General features: G+C 39.5%; 1 protein-coding gene across 20 annotated transcripts in view, besides 1 other annotated feature; it reads right to left on the bottom strand.

The window, feature by feature from the left end:
* MYO3A (myosin IIIA) overlaps nt 1-17,702 on the bottom strand; it is a 278,304-nt gene that overhangs the window by 3,043 nt on the left and 257,559 nt on the right. For 8 of the 20 annotated variants that reach the window (XM_011519498.3, XM_011519500.3, NM_017433.5 and 5 more), the window contains 3 exons: nt 16,179-16,285; nt 8,185-8,225; nt 6,383-6,526 (listed from right to left, as the gene is read on the bottom strand). In XM_011519498.3, coding sequence (XP_011517800.1) covers nt 6,383-6,526; nt 8,185-8,225; nt 16,179-16,285 — 292 coding nt within the window. Of the gene's footprint in view, nt 1-4,977; nt 5,406-6,382; nt 6,527-8,184; nt 8,226-10,493; nt 11,233-16,178; nt 16,286-17,702 lie in introns of those variants that run through there. The other 12 variants (XM_011519503.2, XM_047425358.1, XR_930494.1 and 9 more) reach the window with 8 other exon arrangements.
* Nucleotides 9,171-9,694: an enhancer, noted in NCBI's record as "NANOG hESC enhancer chr10:26488725-26489248 (GRCh37/hg19 assembly coordinates)". NCBI's record gives its function as "activates a minimal SCP1, AML or CMV promoter by ChIP-STARR-seq in primed H9 embryonic stem cells {active_cell/tissue: H9 hESC(primed)}" and the evidence as "EXISTENCE:reporter gene assay evidence [ECO:0000049][PMID:30033119]".

Raw genomic sequence — 17,702 nt, 5'->3', positions numbered from 1 at the left:
ATAGGAAGAAAGAATGTGCAGGAGGTAGTATCATTACTCTTTCATGTATTATTCATTTACTATACTGAAGAGCAGAAAAAATGGGTGGTTGTAGGGGGGGATTGGGTCAAGGATGTTTTTTAAGATGGATCTGAATGCATCATGTTCACTAATTGCCAGAAATGATTTCGTAAAGAGAACAAACATTCAAGGTGCAGAAGAGTGAGGGGACAATTGCAGGACAATGTCCTTGAGTCAATGATAGCACTTGGATTTAGTGCACAAAGGGAAGGTTTCACTTTAGCTAGGAGGGTGGAAAGGTCATCCATAGAATCCTGAGGGAAGTAGATAGGTAAGTGGTAGGACGACTGATATATTCAGCATGTGTCTGTTATCTGCTACTGTTATAAAAGAAGGTTGTCAGCTGAGAGCCAGGAAGTTTGGAGGGTTTGAGGAGAGAGGAGGAAGTTTGAAAGAGTGGACAGGGAAAGTGGCATAAGGAATTTTTAGGGAAATGTAATATTGCAAAGTAACTAAGGGGCTGCCTAAGGAGTGGCCATAATTTTAAGTGGGATTAAATTGTTTTGATTTTACTCAGCATTGGAGTTTGCCAGTTGAATATAATTGAAGGAGAGAGGGCAAGGCCATTGGACATATATGCAAATGAATGAAAATAATGGTGAAAGGAGAGGTCTAGAACGTAGCCTGCAGATGGAATATGCCTCTATTCTGGTCTGTTCTGAATAGGGAATTAAAAGGAAAAGAAAAAGAAAAAAACCTTTGGCAAGGTCTTTCAGGGCATCCTGAGCTCAGTGGATACTTGACGGGGAAGGTCAAGTAGCATCATGATGGGTATTGAAGGAGCAGATCATCCTCTTCTGAGTTACTGACTTGAATTTTCATACCTATTCAGCTTATTTCTGTTTTAAGAATATTAAATATCAACTATCTGCCAGGTATATCACAAACATTATTTCTAATTCTAAGGACAACACTGCAAAGCCTTAGATTCTTGTTATTTTCAATTTGCAGATGAGAAAACAGACTGATCCTAGTTGCCATGGCTAGTAAGAAGTGGAGTGCAGATTCAAACCCAGGTCTATAGGGCTCAAATCTTAGGCTTTCCTCCTTGTATCCTTTTGCCTCTTTTTTTGTTGATGCTTCTTTCACAATTCTCCTGTCTCTTAACTGAGGCACTTGTGTTCCATCTTATTTTCCCCTTTTTATCCTCCATTGATCATCTTGCCATAATTAAAACCTGCTTATGCCCTAAACACCCCACATCTCTCACCACCGCCCAACAGAGACCCCACTAGGTCCCATCTTCAGAGGAGACAAGCAGATGTCAGCCTCTTGTTGTCCTCTTTTCCTCTAGTGCCATTCTCTAATCACTGATTGCCTGTCACCAGCTTTCATTCATTTAAAGTCCATGAGAACAATGAACTATCAAAAAAAAAATCAAGAAAACAATCTCACTTACAGTAGCTACAAAAAATACTTAGGAATAAATTTAATCAAGGAGGTAAAAGATCTATACATTGAAAAGTATAAAGCATTGATGAACAAAATTGCAGATGACACAAATAAATGGAAAGATATTCCGTGTTCATGGATCAGAATAATTAATATTGGTAAAATGCTCATACTACCCACAGCAATCTACAGATTCAATGGAATCTCTATCAAAATTCCAATGACATCTTCACAAATATAGGAAAAAAATCCTAAAATTTGTATAGAACCACAGAAGACCCTTTGGTAGTCAAAGCTATCTTGAGCAAAAAGAAGAAAGCAGGGAGACATCACACTATCTGATTTCAAACTATATTAAAAAGCTATTGTAAGTAAAACAGCATGGTACTGGCATAAGAACAGATGCATAGACCAACAGAATAGAGAGCCCAGAAATAAATCCAACATTTACAGTCATTTGATTTTCAACAAAGATGCCAAAAACACACAATGGGGAAAGGACAGTCTCTTCAATAAGTGGTGCTGCAAAAACCACATGTCCACATGCAGAAGAATGAAATTAGATTGTTATCTCACTTACAAATAGCAATCTCACATACAAAAATCAATTCCAAATGGATTAGAGACTTAAACATTAGACATGAAACTGCAAAACTAGAAGAAAATACAGGGGCTAGCTCATGTGATGCTGCCTAAAAAGAGAAAAGAAAAGAAAGAAATTATAAGGGAAAACCTCCATGACATTGGTCTGGGCAATGATTGTGATCTCAAAAGCACTGGCAACAAAAGCAAAAAAATAGACAAATGGGATTACATCAAACTAAAAAGCTTCTGCACAGCAGAGGAAGCATTCAACAGAATGAAGAAACAATCATTTAAATGGGAGAAAATATTTGCAAACTATGCATCTAGTAAGTGGTTAATATCCAAAATATATAAGGAAACTGATACAACTTAGAAAAAAAAAACCCAAACAGAAAACAACCCTCCAATAACCCAATTAAACAATGGGCAAAAGACCCAAATAAACATTTCTCAAAAGAAGACTGAGAAATGGTCAACACGTATATGAAAAAATGTTCAATATCACTAATCATTGGGGAAATGCAAATTACAAACACAATGAGATCTCACACCTGTTAGGATGGCTACTATAAAAAACATGAAAGGTTACAAATGTTCGCAAAGGTGGGGAGAAAAGGGAAACTCTTGCACATCATTGGTGGGAATGTGAATTAGTACAACCATTACAGAAAACAGTATGGCAGTTCCTTAAAAAATTAAAATCAGGCTGGGCGCGGTGGCTCACGCCTGTAATCCCAGCACTTTGGGAGGCCGAGGTGGGCAGATCACCTGAGGTCAGGAGTTTGAGACCAGCCTGGCCAACATGGTGAAACCCCATCTCTACTAAAATTACAAAAATTAGATGGGTATGGTGGCAGGCACCTGTAATCCCAGGTATTTGGGAGGCTGAGGCAGGAGAATCACTTGAACCTGGGAGGTGGAGGTTGCAGTGAGCTAAGATCGTGCCATTGAACTCCAGCCTGGGTGACAGAGTGAGACTATGTCTCAAAAATAAATAAACAAATAAATAATATAATAAAATAAAATAAATATGATCCTACTTCTGGGCATATATCCAAAGGTAATGAAATCAGTATGTAAAAAAGATACCTGGGCTGGGCGCTGTGGCTCACGCCTGTAATCTTAGCACTGTGGGAGGCCGAGGCGGATGGATCACTTGAGGCCAGAAGTTCAAGACCAGCCTGGCCAACATGGTGAAACCCCGTCTCTACCAAAAATATAAAAATTAGCCGGGCAGAGTGGCATGCACCTGTAATCCCAGTTACTCTGGAGGCTGAGGCAGGAGACTCGCTTGAACCTGGGAGGCAGAGGTTGCAGTGAGCTGAGATCATGCCACTGAACTCCAGCTTAGATGACAGAGCGAGACTCACTCAAAAAAAAAAAAAAATCTGCACTCAGATGTTCATTGCAGCATTATTCACAAGAGCCAATATATGGAATCAACTTAAGAGTCCATCAATGGATGAATGGATAATGAACATGTGGTATATGTACACAATGGAATACCCTTCTGCCTTAAAAAAGAAAGAAATCCGGCTGGGCACGGTGGCTCACGCCTGTAATCCCAGCATTTTGGGAGGCCGAGGAGGGCAAATCACAAGGTCAGAAGATCGAGACCATCCTGGCTAACACAGTGAAACCCTGTCTCTACTAAAAATACAAAAAAATATTAGCCGGGAGTGATGGCGGGTGCCTGTAGTCCCAGCTACTTGGGAGGCTGAGGCAGGAGAATGGCATGAACCCAGGAGGCGGAGCTTGCAGTGAGCCGAGATCGTGCCACTGCATTCCAGCCTGGGCGACAGAGCCAGACTCTGTCTCAAAAAAAAAAAAAAAAAAAAAAAAAAGAAAAGAAAAGAAATCCTGCCATTTTTAACAACACGAGTGAACCTGGAGGACAGAATGCTAAGTGAAAGAAGTCAGGTGCAGAAAGACAAATATAGCATGATCTCACTTATACATGGAAGCCCCCCCCCAAAAAAAAAAAAAAAAGACAAGCACACAGAGCAGTGAGTAGAATAGTAGTTACCAGGGCACTGGTCACGGGACTGGGGAGAGAGATCAGTCAAAGGATACAAAATGTCAGTTAGGCAGGAGGAATAAATTCAAGAGATTTATTGTACAACATGGTGACTATAGTTAATAGAAATGTATTGTGTACTTGAAAACTGCTGAGGGTAGATTTTAAGTGCTTTCACCATAAAAAAGATAGCTAAGTGAGGTAATTCATATGTTAATTAGCATGATCAAGCCATTCCACAATGTACATGTATCTTAAAACATCATGTTCTATACCACAAGTTTATACACGTTTTGTCAATTAAAAAAATCACAAGGCACTCAGTTCACCATCGCTGTTGTCTCTTACTCCCAGACTTACACCCTCTCGCGCAATGCCAATACTTGGTGTGTGTATATACACAAAAAGATATTCTTTGTGCACTAACATCTTCTGACATGTAGCTTAGTCTCAAATTTCTCCAATTGTTTCAATAGCACTATTTCGCTGTTTGGTTTTTGTTTTCTATTTTAAATTCAGGATACTGTCAAGGCTGTTTTGTCTCTGTAACCTTCCTTAGTTTAGAAAAAAAAACCTTATCTGAGTTACCTTGTTCAGCTTTGTTATATGGGTATACTTTTCCTTCAGCATCAAGCTCTTGGAGGTAAGGATCACATCTTATGCACTATTCTATCCACCCCTTCTTCAAATGCCCAGCATGATCTTTTGCATAGGATGGAAATACTGAGTAATGGTTAAGGCCATCAACTCTAAACTTAGAAATTCTGGCTCCATGAACTTATCATCTAGGTGACTCTTTGCAGTCACTAAACTTTGTAGATTTAGCCTCCTCATCTATAAAATGGGGCAATAATAGTAACTGCCTCGTGCGGTTGCTGTGAGGATTAAATGAGACAATGGCATAGTGCCTAGCACAATGTAGGCAGTCAACAATACTAGCTGCTAGCATTTATTGCAGTGGATACTAAATAACACCCATAGACATCACTTAATCTACATCAGGAGTATTTCAGGAATAGAACGCTTTCATAGCAGATGTGTATCTGCCAGTGGGGGGAAGGGGAAGGATACATTGGAGAAGGGGCAGGGTGAGCTTTTAAAATGGGAAGCAGGTAAGTCAGTGAAAAGCAAATGGGCAGGGAGTGAACATCTGGGATTTTAGTTCACTAACTCAGTGTGTGATCTTGGGCAAATCACTTAATCTTTCTGGCATTTGGTGTTCTTCTGTACAGAGCTCTGAGATTAGACTAGAACATCTCTAAGCTCCAACATGTTACAGTGCTGGATCCCAAGATGGAAGAGCACATCTTCTTTTGGAGGCAAAGGGCAAATATCATAGTTTAGATGGATTCTGAAAAAGCAAATAAAGATGATAATAGCCACCACTGATAGAACACCTTTCCTATGCCTCTCCTAAGTACCCTATTGCTACATTTAGTCTCTACAACAACATGGTGAGGCAGTTATTAGTAAATTCTTTTGCAGATATGGAAATGAAGCTTAAAGAGGTCAACTATCATGAGCAAGGTCACTCAACAACTAAGCAGCAGGATCAGGATCCAAACCTAAGACCATGTGACTCTAAAACTTCTTTTCTTAACCACCATGTCACTCTGTAAAATGGGTGAGGGTTCTGAGGACCCTAGATTCACAGGATATTCGTTTAGAATTTTGGATGAACAGCTTTTTGTTTTCCATCATTACTCCCATTTTTCATATGTCATGTTTGTTTTATTATGTACCCAGATCTCAAAATGCCACAGATATTTTGGGAGAAAAGAGAAAAAATTCCTAAAGTATGAAATAAGCTACAAAATAATTTACTTAATGTCAGAAAGTTGGTGGCAAGGTGAGAATTCAAGTCCAAAATATGCATTTTTCTATGAATCTTTCTCTCAAATGTTTTTGGGTCTGACATCATTGATTCTGAGAAATTAACAAGCATAATTAAGAAACCAATGAGTAATTAAAATTACTTTGATTGAGCTTGAATATAGATTTTGGATATGATATATTGCTTACAATCAGATGACCATATAATAATTTATCATCCAAACTGAAGTACTTTTATTAAATAACAGGAGTTTTTGTTAATAATTACTCCAAGAAAACAGATAAAAACTCAGTTTTTGCTAGGAAAACTGAGGTATCTGATTACTTTACCATAACACTGTACATGACATTACTTTTAAACACCATATCACTCCAAAGATGCAATATTCAGTAAGAGTGCTTTGTCATTCATCTATATATAAAGTGAAATATCTTAAGAAATGAAATTGTGAGTATAAAACTGCAAATGATGTACTTTAAAGTTTAGCTTTTTACCTTTCATTAGCCTTAATACATTGATTCTGGAGTTCTTGCTGTGGTCTTCGTTCTCTTAAACTAGGGCTATGTTCCTTTGGTCCAGAACGACTGGGCAAAAATTCCTTATAATAGAAATCTTCCAAATCTAATAATTTTCCCTGACTGTAAATGAACACATAAACACACCATTGCATCAATCTAATTTTCTACTCACTTAAACTTACAGGATACTTTTTTTTCTTTAAAAGTATTTACTATAATTTAGAGTAACATACACATGTCAATAGAAATGGAAGGTCTTGAAATGTGGGAAAAACAGTGTATCCCATAAGTAAAAAAGAAAAACCTTCATATCTTACCTTGAACAGAACATTAGCTGTGGGAACACATTTTCCTGGTTCTATTGCACTGAACTTGGCACCAAACTAGTGGTTACTAGAATAGCCAGTGATTGCAGTGTTTCAGTTTGGCCAGTCCAGATCAGCAGTCACTACTGACCTTTAGGCCATTATCAGAAAAGCTCACCTTTGTGTACTAATACTCAGCATTTTCAAATTTTATCAGCCCTCAGTACATTGATACACATATGATCTTAACTTACCTCCTTCATGAATAACATTCTGTCCTCCCTCTACTCTGTTCTTTAGCGGATTAATTTCTGTGCTAGATTTTAACACCCACACATGACATACACATAAGGGTGCATCCTTGCCCATGTTAATTCTTGGTTCTACTCAGGGCACAGTCTGGTTCCTATGGTGCTCTGGGACTTCCTAAGAGATAAACAGGTAGGTCTGGGAAATCTCCAGGTGTTACAATGCTTCCAGGAAAACACACTTTTCAAATTACAGATACTAATCTAAAAAGGACTTTCAGGATGTCACTGATTCAGAAATAAAGAACTGTGTTCACTCATGCTTAATAGAAACGCTCTTGTTTGTTCTTAGCACTCACTGTCTGGAAATTGGTTGACATGAACATTGATTAAAACAGTGATATAATATTAAAAGAGTAAAATATCAGTGGGAAATATAAGAAAAGGAGAATAATGTGAATTTAAGTGTGCTATACTTGCAAGTAACATAAACCTTATCTTCTTAACAAATCTATAAAAATTACAAGCAGCAAGATTTAGCATGTGTAGAAGGAGAAAAAGCAAAAAGGAGTTTGGGGAAAGGAAATTCATGAATACAGGTATGTTCAAATTGCCCAAGCAAAACCATTCCATGGAACAAGAAAAGCAAATTACCTACTGGGAGGGTACGATTCATTTAAAACATATTTAAGTTCTTAGTGCTATGCTGGCTCAATAGATTTCCAGTAGGCAGGATCTTATAAATTATATATAAATCACATATTCGTAACGTAAATGTATTGGGTGCACATTACTTTCCAAATCTATGCATATAAAATAGGTGATTTTTTTTTTTTTTTTTGAGACGGAGTCTCGCCCAGTCGACTGCTCAGGCTGGAGTGCAGTGGCGCAATCTCGGCTCACGGCAAGCTCCGTCTCCCGGGTTCACGCCATTCTCCTGCCTCAGCCTCCTGAGTAGCTGGGACTACAGGCGCCTGCCACTACGCCCGGCTAATTTTTTTTTTTTGTATTTTTAGTAGAGACGGGGTTTCACCGTGTTAGCCAGGATGGTCTCGATCTCCTGACCTCGTGATCCACCCGCCTCGGCCTCCCAAAGTTCTGGGATTACAGGCGTGAGCCACCGCGCCTGGCCTAAAATAGGTGATTTTAAATCATAATTTGAACACATGGATTTTTATTTTTGTTTGAATAAGATGACTGATTGAAATCCAGAAGTAATAATTACCTGTCTTTCCTTGGTCTTCGTTTTTCTTCTTGGATTGACTTCTAAAGGAAAGAAGAATTCAAAAGATCTATATAATATTATGATCTTAATATAATGGATATATAACTATAATCTTAATATGTAAATACATTTACTCTTAAAAGACTAAGTTAGAAATAAGCAAGTGGATACAATATTTTAAAAATTTAAAGAAATATAATTTACTCAAGTTTTATTAATTATAAATTTCTGGTTATTTTTGCCACACCTAAACTGAAACGAATCTTTGCATTCCACATGAAAAATGTATTTCCCACACAGTGACCAATATAAACAAGGCTATACATAAGATCTATTTACTACAAACGGGAGCAAACTAAAATTTCTGGGAAGCCCATTTCTCTATACAAATGCAGTTGTGATGGAAGCAGGTTAATTAAGCTGCTTTGAATGTCTTGCTTCTTTGTCTGCAGGTAAAACAGATGGGTGAATATGGACGGCAGGTGAAACAGTCCGCAAAAAGAATGGAATTGTGACTTCATAAACCTATAGGAGCCCATTTATGACATAAATGTAGCAGCACAGATGATATATGTTTTCATTTGCACAATGTTTTCATAGTTGAGAACTTTATGTATCAAGGTCAGAACAAATTAAGATACGCAAATATGGAAATCATTAGATATATTTTAACTGATACTTCAATTCGAACACTAACAAAATGGTCCTTTGTATGTAAGTTTCACCTTATATACAAACCAGTATTATCTTTTGCACTGTAGCATTAGTAATGTGTTTTTGTGTGTGTGCTACTTCAATACATTTGAGCTCATCTATTTACATGTTGCCACAGCGTATTTGTCTTTTAGGCTGAGAAAACAGACACCATACTCACCTTGAACAAACTGAAGATATTATAACTGTGGAAACCCTATAGCAGGTATCAAGTTGGCTGGTACCATAAAAGTGTTGTATAACAAAAATGGCAGTTAATAATGGTTTATAAATACTGAGGGTTTTCCCCAGTATTCTTAGAGACACAGTAAGTCACGTTTTTTTCAGGATTTATCATTTGTTGTGCTCTAAAATAGTAGATGAGTGAAACAGTTCATGGTTTCTTTTATTCTTATTGGTTGGCATTTTAACGGGTGGATGAGGTGGAAGTGAGTGCTTCCTTGCATCAAGTCTGGGAGGAGACCATTCAGGAAATAATGTAAGGGCAGGATATCAATTACATTCCTGTTCTCCCGTTTCCTGTCACTTCACATTCTTGATCCAATGCCCTAGGCTAAGAGGCGCTTACAAATAATTACATTGCCTGCATAGGAACAGTGGCCACTAGCAGTTCAGTTAATGATCTCCGGGACTGGGGTGCTGTTTGTTGTGGTGGTTGTTTCTGTTTTAACATGACTTCAGTAGTAGTTTCCTACAGAGGTCCTGCCTCCCTCATCCATTACCTGAAAAAAAGTCCCTTTTGTTCTGGGTAACAATTGCCTATAGTTCAAAGTTAGGCTTAAGTGATGGCACTATGTTGAGTGACAGAGATGCCCTTTATATAACCAAGAATCAAATAATGTTCTGCCCTTGAATTCTCAGGCTGGTGAAGATCCTATTTATACTAGATCAGCACTTCCTTCTGGGACATGGTGTATATAAGTTGGTTCTCAGTTACACGAATTCCTAGAAGAGGATGTATTGTCCAGACATCTTTCACTCTTGCCTGTGTTAGAATATTCTTTTTTCTTTTCTTTTTTTTTGAGACAGTGTCTCGCTCTGTGACTCAGGCTGGAGTGCAGCAGTGCAATCTCGGCTCACTGCAACTTCTGCCTCCTGAGCTCAAGTGATCCTCCCACCTTAGTGATCCTCCCACCTTAGCCATCCTTGTAGCTGGGACTATAGTCATGACCCATCGTGCCCAGGTAATTTTTGTAGTTTTTGTGGAGACAAGGTTTCGCTATGTTCCCCAGGCTGGTCTCGAACTCTTAAGCTCAAGCAATCCACCCACCTCGGCCTCTCCAAGTGCTGGGATTACAGGTGTGAGCCGCTGCGCGTGGCCTTGTGTTAGAATATTCTCATGAAATGTAATTCAGTAATATATTTTTCCAAAAATTATTTAAGATGGCTCATAATATAAGTCGTTATACAATCAAAATAATAAAGTAAAAATTGTAAATGAGAAACAAAGGAGGCAAAGGAAGTAGGTGCATTAAGATGGAGGCTTACATTTGTCTCTTAGTTTCCTAACAGCTGGGGCTAAAAGGGGAGCACGATGCATTAACCTCTACCCTTTGTCATGAAAAGGGAAGCATATCACTCCTCAAAGGTGAGGATTTTATAAGAAATTTATTACACGGACTTTATAGTGGGGACTTTTTTGCGAAGATGTACAATGTTTTCAATTATAGTTTTGAAATTACAAATTAAAAACTTGAAATTTGAAATGCAAATAAAGAAGCAAATGTCCCATGGCAATTTCCTGTAGAACCAGAGTAGAGAAAAGAAAGAAAGAGGAGACAAACATGACTCACGTAGATTTTCTGGCTTGGGTGTTTCTTGAGGAGGCCTTTAAAGAATAGTGTCTTAGCTCTGAAGACTTTGAAGAACCTGTTCCTTAATCAGGCACATTGCACTCCCCCTCCAGCCCCACCCGACATAAAGAAATATGTTTTATGACAAAACGTTAAAATTCATATCCATTACATCATGGTGAGCACAATCTTACTTTCCTTTTGGTAATACACTACCAATTTCTTTATTTAGACGGATGAAGGAGCTAAACGTTGAAGTTAGGAAGAAAAAGACTTTGGAGTGGCCAAACTAGCTACTGCTGTAGTTCAGGGAAAGTACTGGAAAGAATAATAAAATTGGAAGGGATCTCTGATAAGATTGTGTTCGATTACTCGTTTTTTTGAGGAAACTTGGCCCTGAGTCATTTTTGCTGATGCTGCACAGCTTTGAGCATTAGCCCAGGCAGTACAACAGGCCATGCGCACTCCGCTAATGCTCTCCTCCACAGGCACGCTTCTGCGGCTTGGCTCACTCTTATTTTGGACACAGCAGCAGCATTTCCTGGACGTAAGAGATAAAGAGCATCAAGTCATAGGAAAGAGGCAATACTGATTTTAAGGCCGCTAGAATCGCCATTGTAAGAAGTGACATCCAAGGAGAAAAAAAAACAAAACAAAAACTATAAAAATAGCAAAACAACTGAAAGCAGAGATGTTTGTGTTGGGCAAATGTAAAGGAAATAATTTTCTACAACTCAACAGCCCCTGAGAGTACTGTACTACAGTGGTCTATTATTTAACAGTCTTCTAGTTACGATGTAAGCAGCACAGTGTTCTGAGGAGTATGGCTGTAACAGCGAGCATAGGCCTCGCCTCCATAGAGCTTCTAGTTTAGAGGGGGAAGTCACACAGGAGACAAGTAGACAAATAAATATTTATAAATGCACTGAAGAAGGCTGGGTGTGGTGGCTCACGCCTGTAATTCCAGCACTTTGGGAGGCCAAGACGGGCAGATCACCTGAGGTCAGGAGTTTGAGACCAGCCTAGCCAACATGGTGAAATCCCGGCTTTACTAAAAATACAAAAAATTTATCTGGGCATGGCAGCAGGTGCCTGTAATCCTAGCTACTTGGGAGGCTAAGGCAGGAGAATCGGTTGAACCCGGGAGGCGGAGGTTGCAGTGAGCTGAGATTGGGCCACTGCATTCCAGCCTGGGCAACAAAGTGAGACTCTGTCTCAAAACCACCACCACCAACAACAACAAAAAACGCAAAATGCAGCGGAGAAAAATGAAGCAGGCCAGGGACATACAAGAGAGATTGGGTGCTGCCTTAGCCATGGCAGTCAGGGATCTTCTGGTAAGTATAGATACAAATGAAACCAACCCAATAGTCCCATAGACTGTTCTTTTTGATAAACATAGAAACTAACCCTTCTGGTCTTAAAGTTTGAAACTTTTGTTTTATCTGAGTTCCTTCCTCAGGAAATAACCTTCAGGCCCCTCAAAAAAAGGACTGAAACTCACCACAACACTGCACTCATTCACCATGACTACTTCCTTGCCCCTCCCTAGTTCTTGTTTTCTTAAACATTGTTACATTTCCTCCCTGCTATATAAATCCCTGGCCTGAATCTGTAAGGGAGATGGATTTGAGACTGAGCTCGTGTCTCCTGGGCTACGGCACCTGATTAAGGCCTTCTTCCTTGGTAATACTCGGTTCAGTGATTGGCTTTCTGTGTGGTGCGCAGCGGGACCTCAACCAAACCCCTGGTGTTTCAGTAACAAGAATCAAGAACAAACATTTTGAATAGTGCTACAATAAAAGTTCACAGTACTCTATTGTATATTTCAAAATAACTAAAACAGTGGAATTGAGATGTTCCTAACAAAGAAATAAATGCTTGAGACGATGGATGCTCCAGTTATCCTGATTTGATCATTACACATTGTATGCTTGTATCGAAATATCACATGTATTCCATAAACATGTACAACTAGTATGTATCCATAAAAATGAAAAATAAAACATTAAAAAAAGTTAAAAAAAATTCATTCACTTAAGTGACCCTGGGTCATCAAGAAAGGGTTTAAAATATGCAGTATAATATATTTTAGAAAGACTTTCATGAAAACCATTTAAAATTACAGAAAGTGTTTGGTGGTTAAAGGGACTGGGGCCTCATTACAGCCACACTTTTCACTATGTGTAATGCCTCAAATCCTGGGAAGGGCCAGATAAATATGAACACGTGGTATATCTTCACTTGTAATAATATACTCCTTTTCTGTGTTATTTTTCATTGAAGTCATAGATTTCAAACTCAGAGTTATTAAAAAGGATCCTATTCCCTAATGACTTAGGATGTATGGAAATATAGTCACTTAAAAATAATAGTGCAATGACAAAGTAAGCTTCTTGGGGATGGAACTCATTTATGAGGCTCAGAATTTGCTCCACACTTCTCACTGGTTGTTAGTAATAACATTTCACTTCAGTTCAGGTCTTTTACAATTTCTCATACTGGGAATAGTATCTGCTGTTGAAGCCATCACAATCACTTGTCATTTCAGTTGCACTTAATAAAGAGCATTGAGTATCATTGACTACTTAAACTCAGGGTTAATAGGGAATGTTTGGTAATTTCTAATCTTGTTTCTGCTGTTCTATTTAATTGCATAAACAAATGTCAGAGTATTTGCTGCTTTTTAAATTATTTGAGAGCATAGAAAAAAATCAATTTCATTTCTTATTCAGCTTCCTATATAAAGTGACTGTCAAACGCAGGTATCTGGAATTTTAGATTTTTCTCAATTTACTCCTATTTGTTTTTCATTCTTTTATTTCATTGCTCTCATTTGTACAACACATATTTATTGCATGCCTGCTATGTGTCAGGTTGAATGCAATAGGCAAACTCCTTGACCTCGTGGAAGCCACACCAATCCCTCTTTAGCATGATAAAGTGTCATAAAAGGGAAGTATGGGCTTCTTCGGGAGGATATAGGAAGAGCTCTCTTGGGATTTGGGAGTGACAAGAAGGTTTCCTGAAGAAAAAGACATCTAGGCTGAGGGTGTTTTGATCATGAAAGACAAGAAGGGGAAGAGGATGTGTGTTTTAGGCTGAGAAAAGGGCATGTCCAAGGACAAATGTTCGTGGACAATTTGAAGAGGAGAATGCAGGTTACTGGGAAGGAAGGGCTGGAGTGGAGAGTTTGGAGGGGTGAATGAATGAATATCAAGCACAGAGGCTGGAAAGGTGAGCAGGCCCAGATTTTGACAGGCCTTCATATCTTAGGACAGTGAGACGTAACAGAAAAGTTCCATCAATGGGAGGATAGTATAATTGGATATTAATTTTAGAAATACAACTCAGGCTACAGTGTGGAAAATACGTTAATTGGAAGGGGAAAAACAAGACCAAGGGACCAGTAAGAGGAGTGACTCAGAACTACTGACAAGACATGCTGGCCTGGAAGAGGGTATTAGCACAGAGCATGGAGAGAAACAGAAACTCAAGAGATATTTGGATTTAGATTTTTGAATATGGAAGATGAGAACGAGGGAGAAGTCAAGGTAATAGTCAGATTACTGGTTTGTAAAATTAGTTGACTATTCACAAAAGACCATATATTGTGTGATTCTATTTATAGGAAATGTCCAGAATAGGCAAATCTACAGAAACAGAAAACTAGATTGGTGATCGCCTAGAGCTTGGGGCAGGGGGTGGGGAGTGGGTAATGACTTCTAATGAGTTTCTTTTTAAGGTGATGAAAATGTTGTAAAATTGATTGTGATTATTGTACTAAAAACCATTTAACGTATATTAAGGTGGGTTAATTGTATGGCATGCGATTTATATCTCAACAAAGCTGTGAGTGTGTGCGCCCATGTATGGATGTGTATGTGTGTGTATATATCTCTATACATGTATACATGGATGCCCATGTGTATCTATGTAGAATATGTAAAACAAACATGAGGTAGTTTGATATTTGAGTCTGGAGCTACAGAGAGATCTAAGCCAGCGATCAAGATTCAGAAATCAGCAGTCACTGAGGTTGTAGTAGCTAATGGGATTGTCTAAAGGAAATGAGAGGGGAGGAGAATGGGTTTCCACAGACAACCCTCTTTGGAAACTGAAAAGAAATCACTAGACAGAAGGGAATGAACTAGAGAAGACTGGCTAACTTGGAGGTCAAGTGTGAGCTTCATTTTCTGCCTGCGAGGTGGGAAACTTATTTCTAACTGATTCTCTGGGTTTCAACACATCCTCTGGGTTCTCCAGGGCATAGGGGAGTGCTGCTGTGTCACTGTGGCAGTGGGGAGTGGAAGACTGAATAAATATTGCAAATGGAGGGACCAGCCAGAGGGTGCAAAGGCCTCGGGAGCATGAGGGAATGCAGCTCACCAGCAGAGTTTCAAGCAGTTCACTATGGCTCGAGGACAAGAAGAGGGCAAGAAAAGAGGCTGAAAAGCAGTCACGGGTCCCACGAAGAAGGCCTTGGAAGGAATCAGGACTTCATCCTGAAGGAGTTGCTGAGCCATTAAAAGAACAATTAAGGGAGGAGCATGCTCAAAGGTATGGTTTAGAGACATTTTCAGGTGCAGGCTGGAGAGGATGCGATTAGGCAGTTACGTGGGACCTGAAATATTCCACAGTGGGAAATGATTAATAGTCTGAAATATGGTAATTGCTGTGAGATTAGAGGGGGGAAATGAGTTGGAGTGAGCTTTTGCAGGTAGAAGCCACAGTTAGAGCCACTGATGGATCACAGGTATGAGAGAGAGGACAAAAACCAGAATGACTCCCAGGTTCTTGGTTTATGAGACCATGTGGATGACAGTGGCATTTATAGAGAACAGGAACATGAGAAGAAGGCCAGGCGATCAGGGGCAACGCCAATGAGTCCTCATGCTGTTAGTGAGCAGGAGCTGAGGGGTCAGAAGACCTCAATAAAATGAATGGCCTGGCAGCTAAGGCATGCTTATCTGTGTCTCAGAATCCTGATCTGAGAGATATGGATAATACATTCAGGGATATTTCCAGGATTAGCTATCACAGTGGATGTGAACAAGCCTTATTCTAGGCCTGGAATTTAAAAGATGCTTAATAAACGTCTGTTTCCCCTCTTCTTTCCTTTTCTTCTAGTTTCACCATAACCCACCCATTTACACCAGGGCCCCTCTCTGGAGAGCTCCTGCTATGATGGGTTTCTCTTTCTGAGTTGATATTTTCATATCAGCTCATATTAATGGACCAGCAGAGAAAGCTGCAAGGAGGACATGGTAGGTACTACCATGGGAGAGGCTTGAATGTGAGGAAGAAGGGCTGGAGGAGATCAAAGTGCCCAGATCCCCAGCCAGGGGAGGGCAGTGAAGAGGAGACCAAGCGCATCTCTGTCCTGCCAGGCCTTCCTTTGTGCCTGAACTAATCTAGCCACAGTTTTCACACTGGCCATTAGTAGATGTGATGGCTCCCATCTGATAGTAAGAGTGAGCCACTTACATGAAGTAGATAATAGTATGTGGAGTCTTCAGGGTTATTTAATGTTTTGGGTTTCCGGGGTCGTCTTGGGGGTCTCAATATTTTTGGCTCCTCTCCTTTACAGACACCTATAAGAAAGGTGATCATAAACAAGTATTTAATTACAAATACTATTATCAAGTGATGTTTTCCTTTTGGGATAAATAAGAAATTATACACATATGACTGAGGCTAAGGCTGGAGAAAAAGGAAATACGTTTGCTGCATAACCAACCCTTATCCTACTCCTCACCATGTGCTTTCCTCTAGTTGTCTGGTGGTCTAGGACTTTGAGAGCTAAGGGGAAGAAAACAAGAGGAAGAAAAAGAAAACCAATGCAGCCGGGTGCAGTGGTTCACGCCTGTTATCCCAGCACTTTGGGAGGCTGAGGCAGGCAGATCACTTGAGGTCAGGAGTTCGAGACCAGCCTGGCCAACTGATGAAACCCTGTCTCTACTAAAAATACAAAAAAATTAGTCAGGCGTGGTGGTGGGCACCCGTAATCCCAGCTACTTGGGAGGCTGAGGCAGGAGAATTGCTTGAACCTGGGAGGCAGAGGTTGCAATGAGTAAAGACCGTGCCATTGCATTCCAGCCTGGGTGACAAGAACAAAACTCTGTCTCAAGAAAAAAAAAAAAGGAAAGAAAGGAAGGGAGGGAGGGAGGGAGGAAGGAAAGAACGAGAAAGAATGCATAGTTTGGTCACGTGGAATTGAATAGAGCAGTTCAGAGGATGGATAAGGTCAGGGGTCAAAGCTGCCAGAAAAAAAACTTAAAAAGGAATGTTATGCTCACAGAACCTCTTCTGTCCCTTCCCTCCCCCTTGTACCAGCCTCACGCAGTGACCCGTCTATCCAAGCACTGCACGATCTTCATTTTTAAGTACTGCCTCATATGTTATGGCCCCAAATGAAGAGACAGCTCATTTGCAGAGTTGACTCTTTCTCAAAAGCCTAATCTATTCTTTCTCCAAAATTTAGAACCTCAAACCAACAGCTGTTTTAGATATGACATTAAAAGAGTGACCAAGAGAGAATAAATTTTTTTGTCTTTTCCTACTCTTTCTGTTAATATAGCCAAGATCTCAAACCGGGAGCAACACCGTCAGAGCCTCTGGTGATCTGTACACTTGGATGTTCATGTTCATTACAAGTGGCTTTGTATTTACAGAGCTAATAGACCTCATTACATATTTCTACTTTTTTCATGATTCTTGACCACCCCATCCACCGACTCTGTTTGCGCAAGAATGTCTGCTCGACAGATAGATCAGGATACAAGTGTGAGTTGGGTATGGTACTTATTGGAAAGCTTCATTCAATACACCTGAGCACATATTTCTAGGTAGGACTTTAAAAGCAGTAATAGCTCATTCTTGCATACAGTAAAGGGGGAGTGATGATTCCTAATCCCCAGATGTTGAAATACACAGAGAAACAGAGCTGTCCCAAACTAGACTAATCAAATAAATGAATATTTATATTTATTATATGTAAACAACTGTGAC

The sequence above is a fragment of the Homo sapiens genome, chromosome 10 (genome assembly GCF_000001405.40).
Source record: "Homo sapiens chromosome 10, GRCh38.p14 Primary Assembly".
Lineage (NCBI taxonomy): Eukaryota > Metazoa > Chordata > Mammalia > Primates > Hominidae > Homo > Homo sapiens.
The sequence above is the reverse complement of the archived record's forward strand: the minus strand, read 5'-3'. Positions and strand labels throughout refer to the sequence as shown.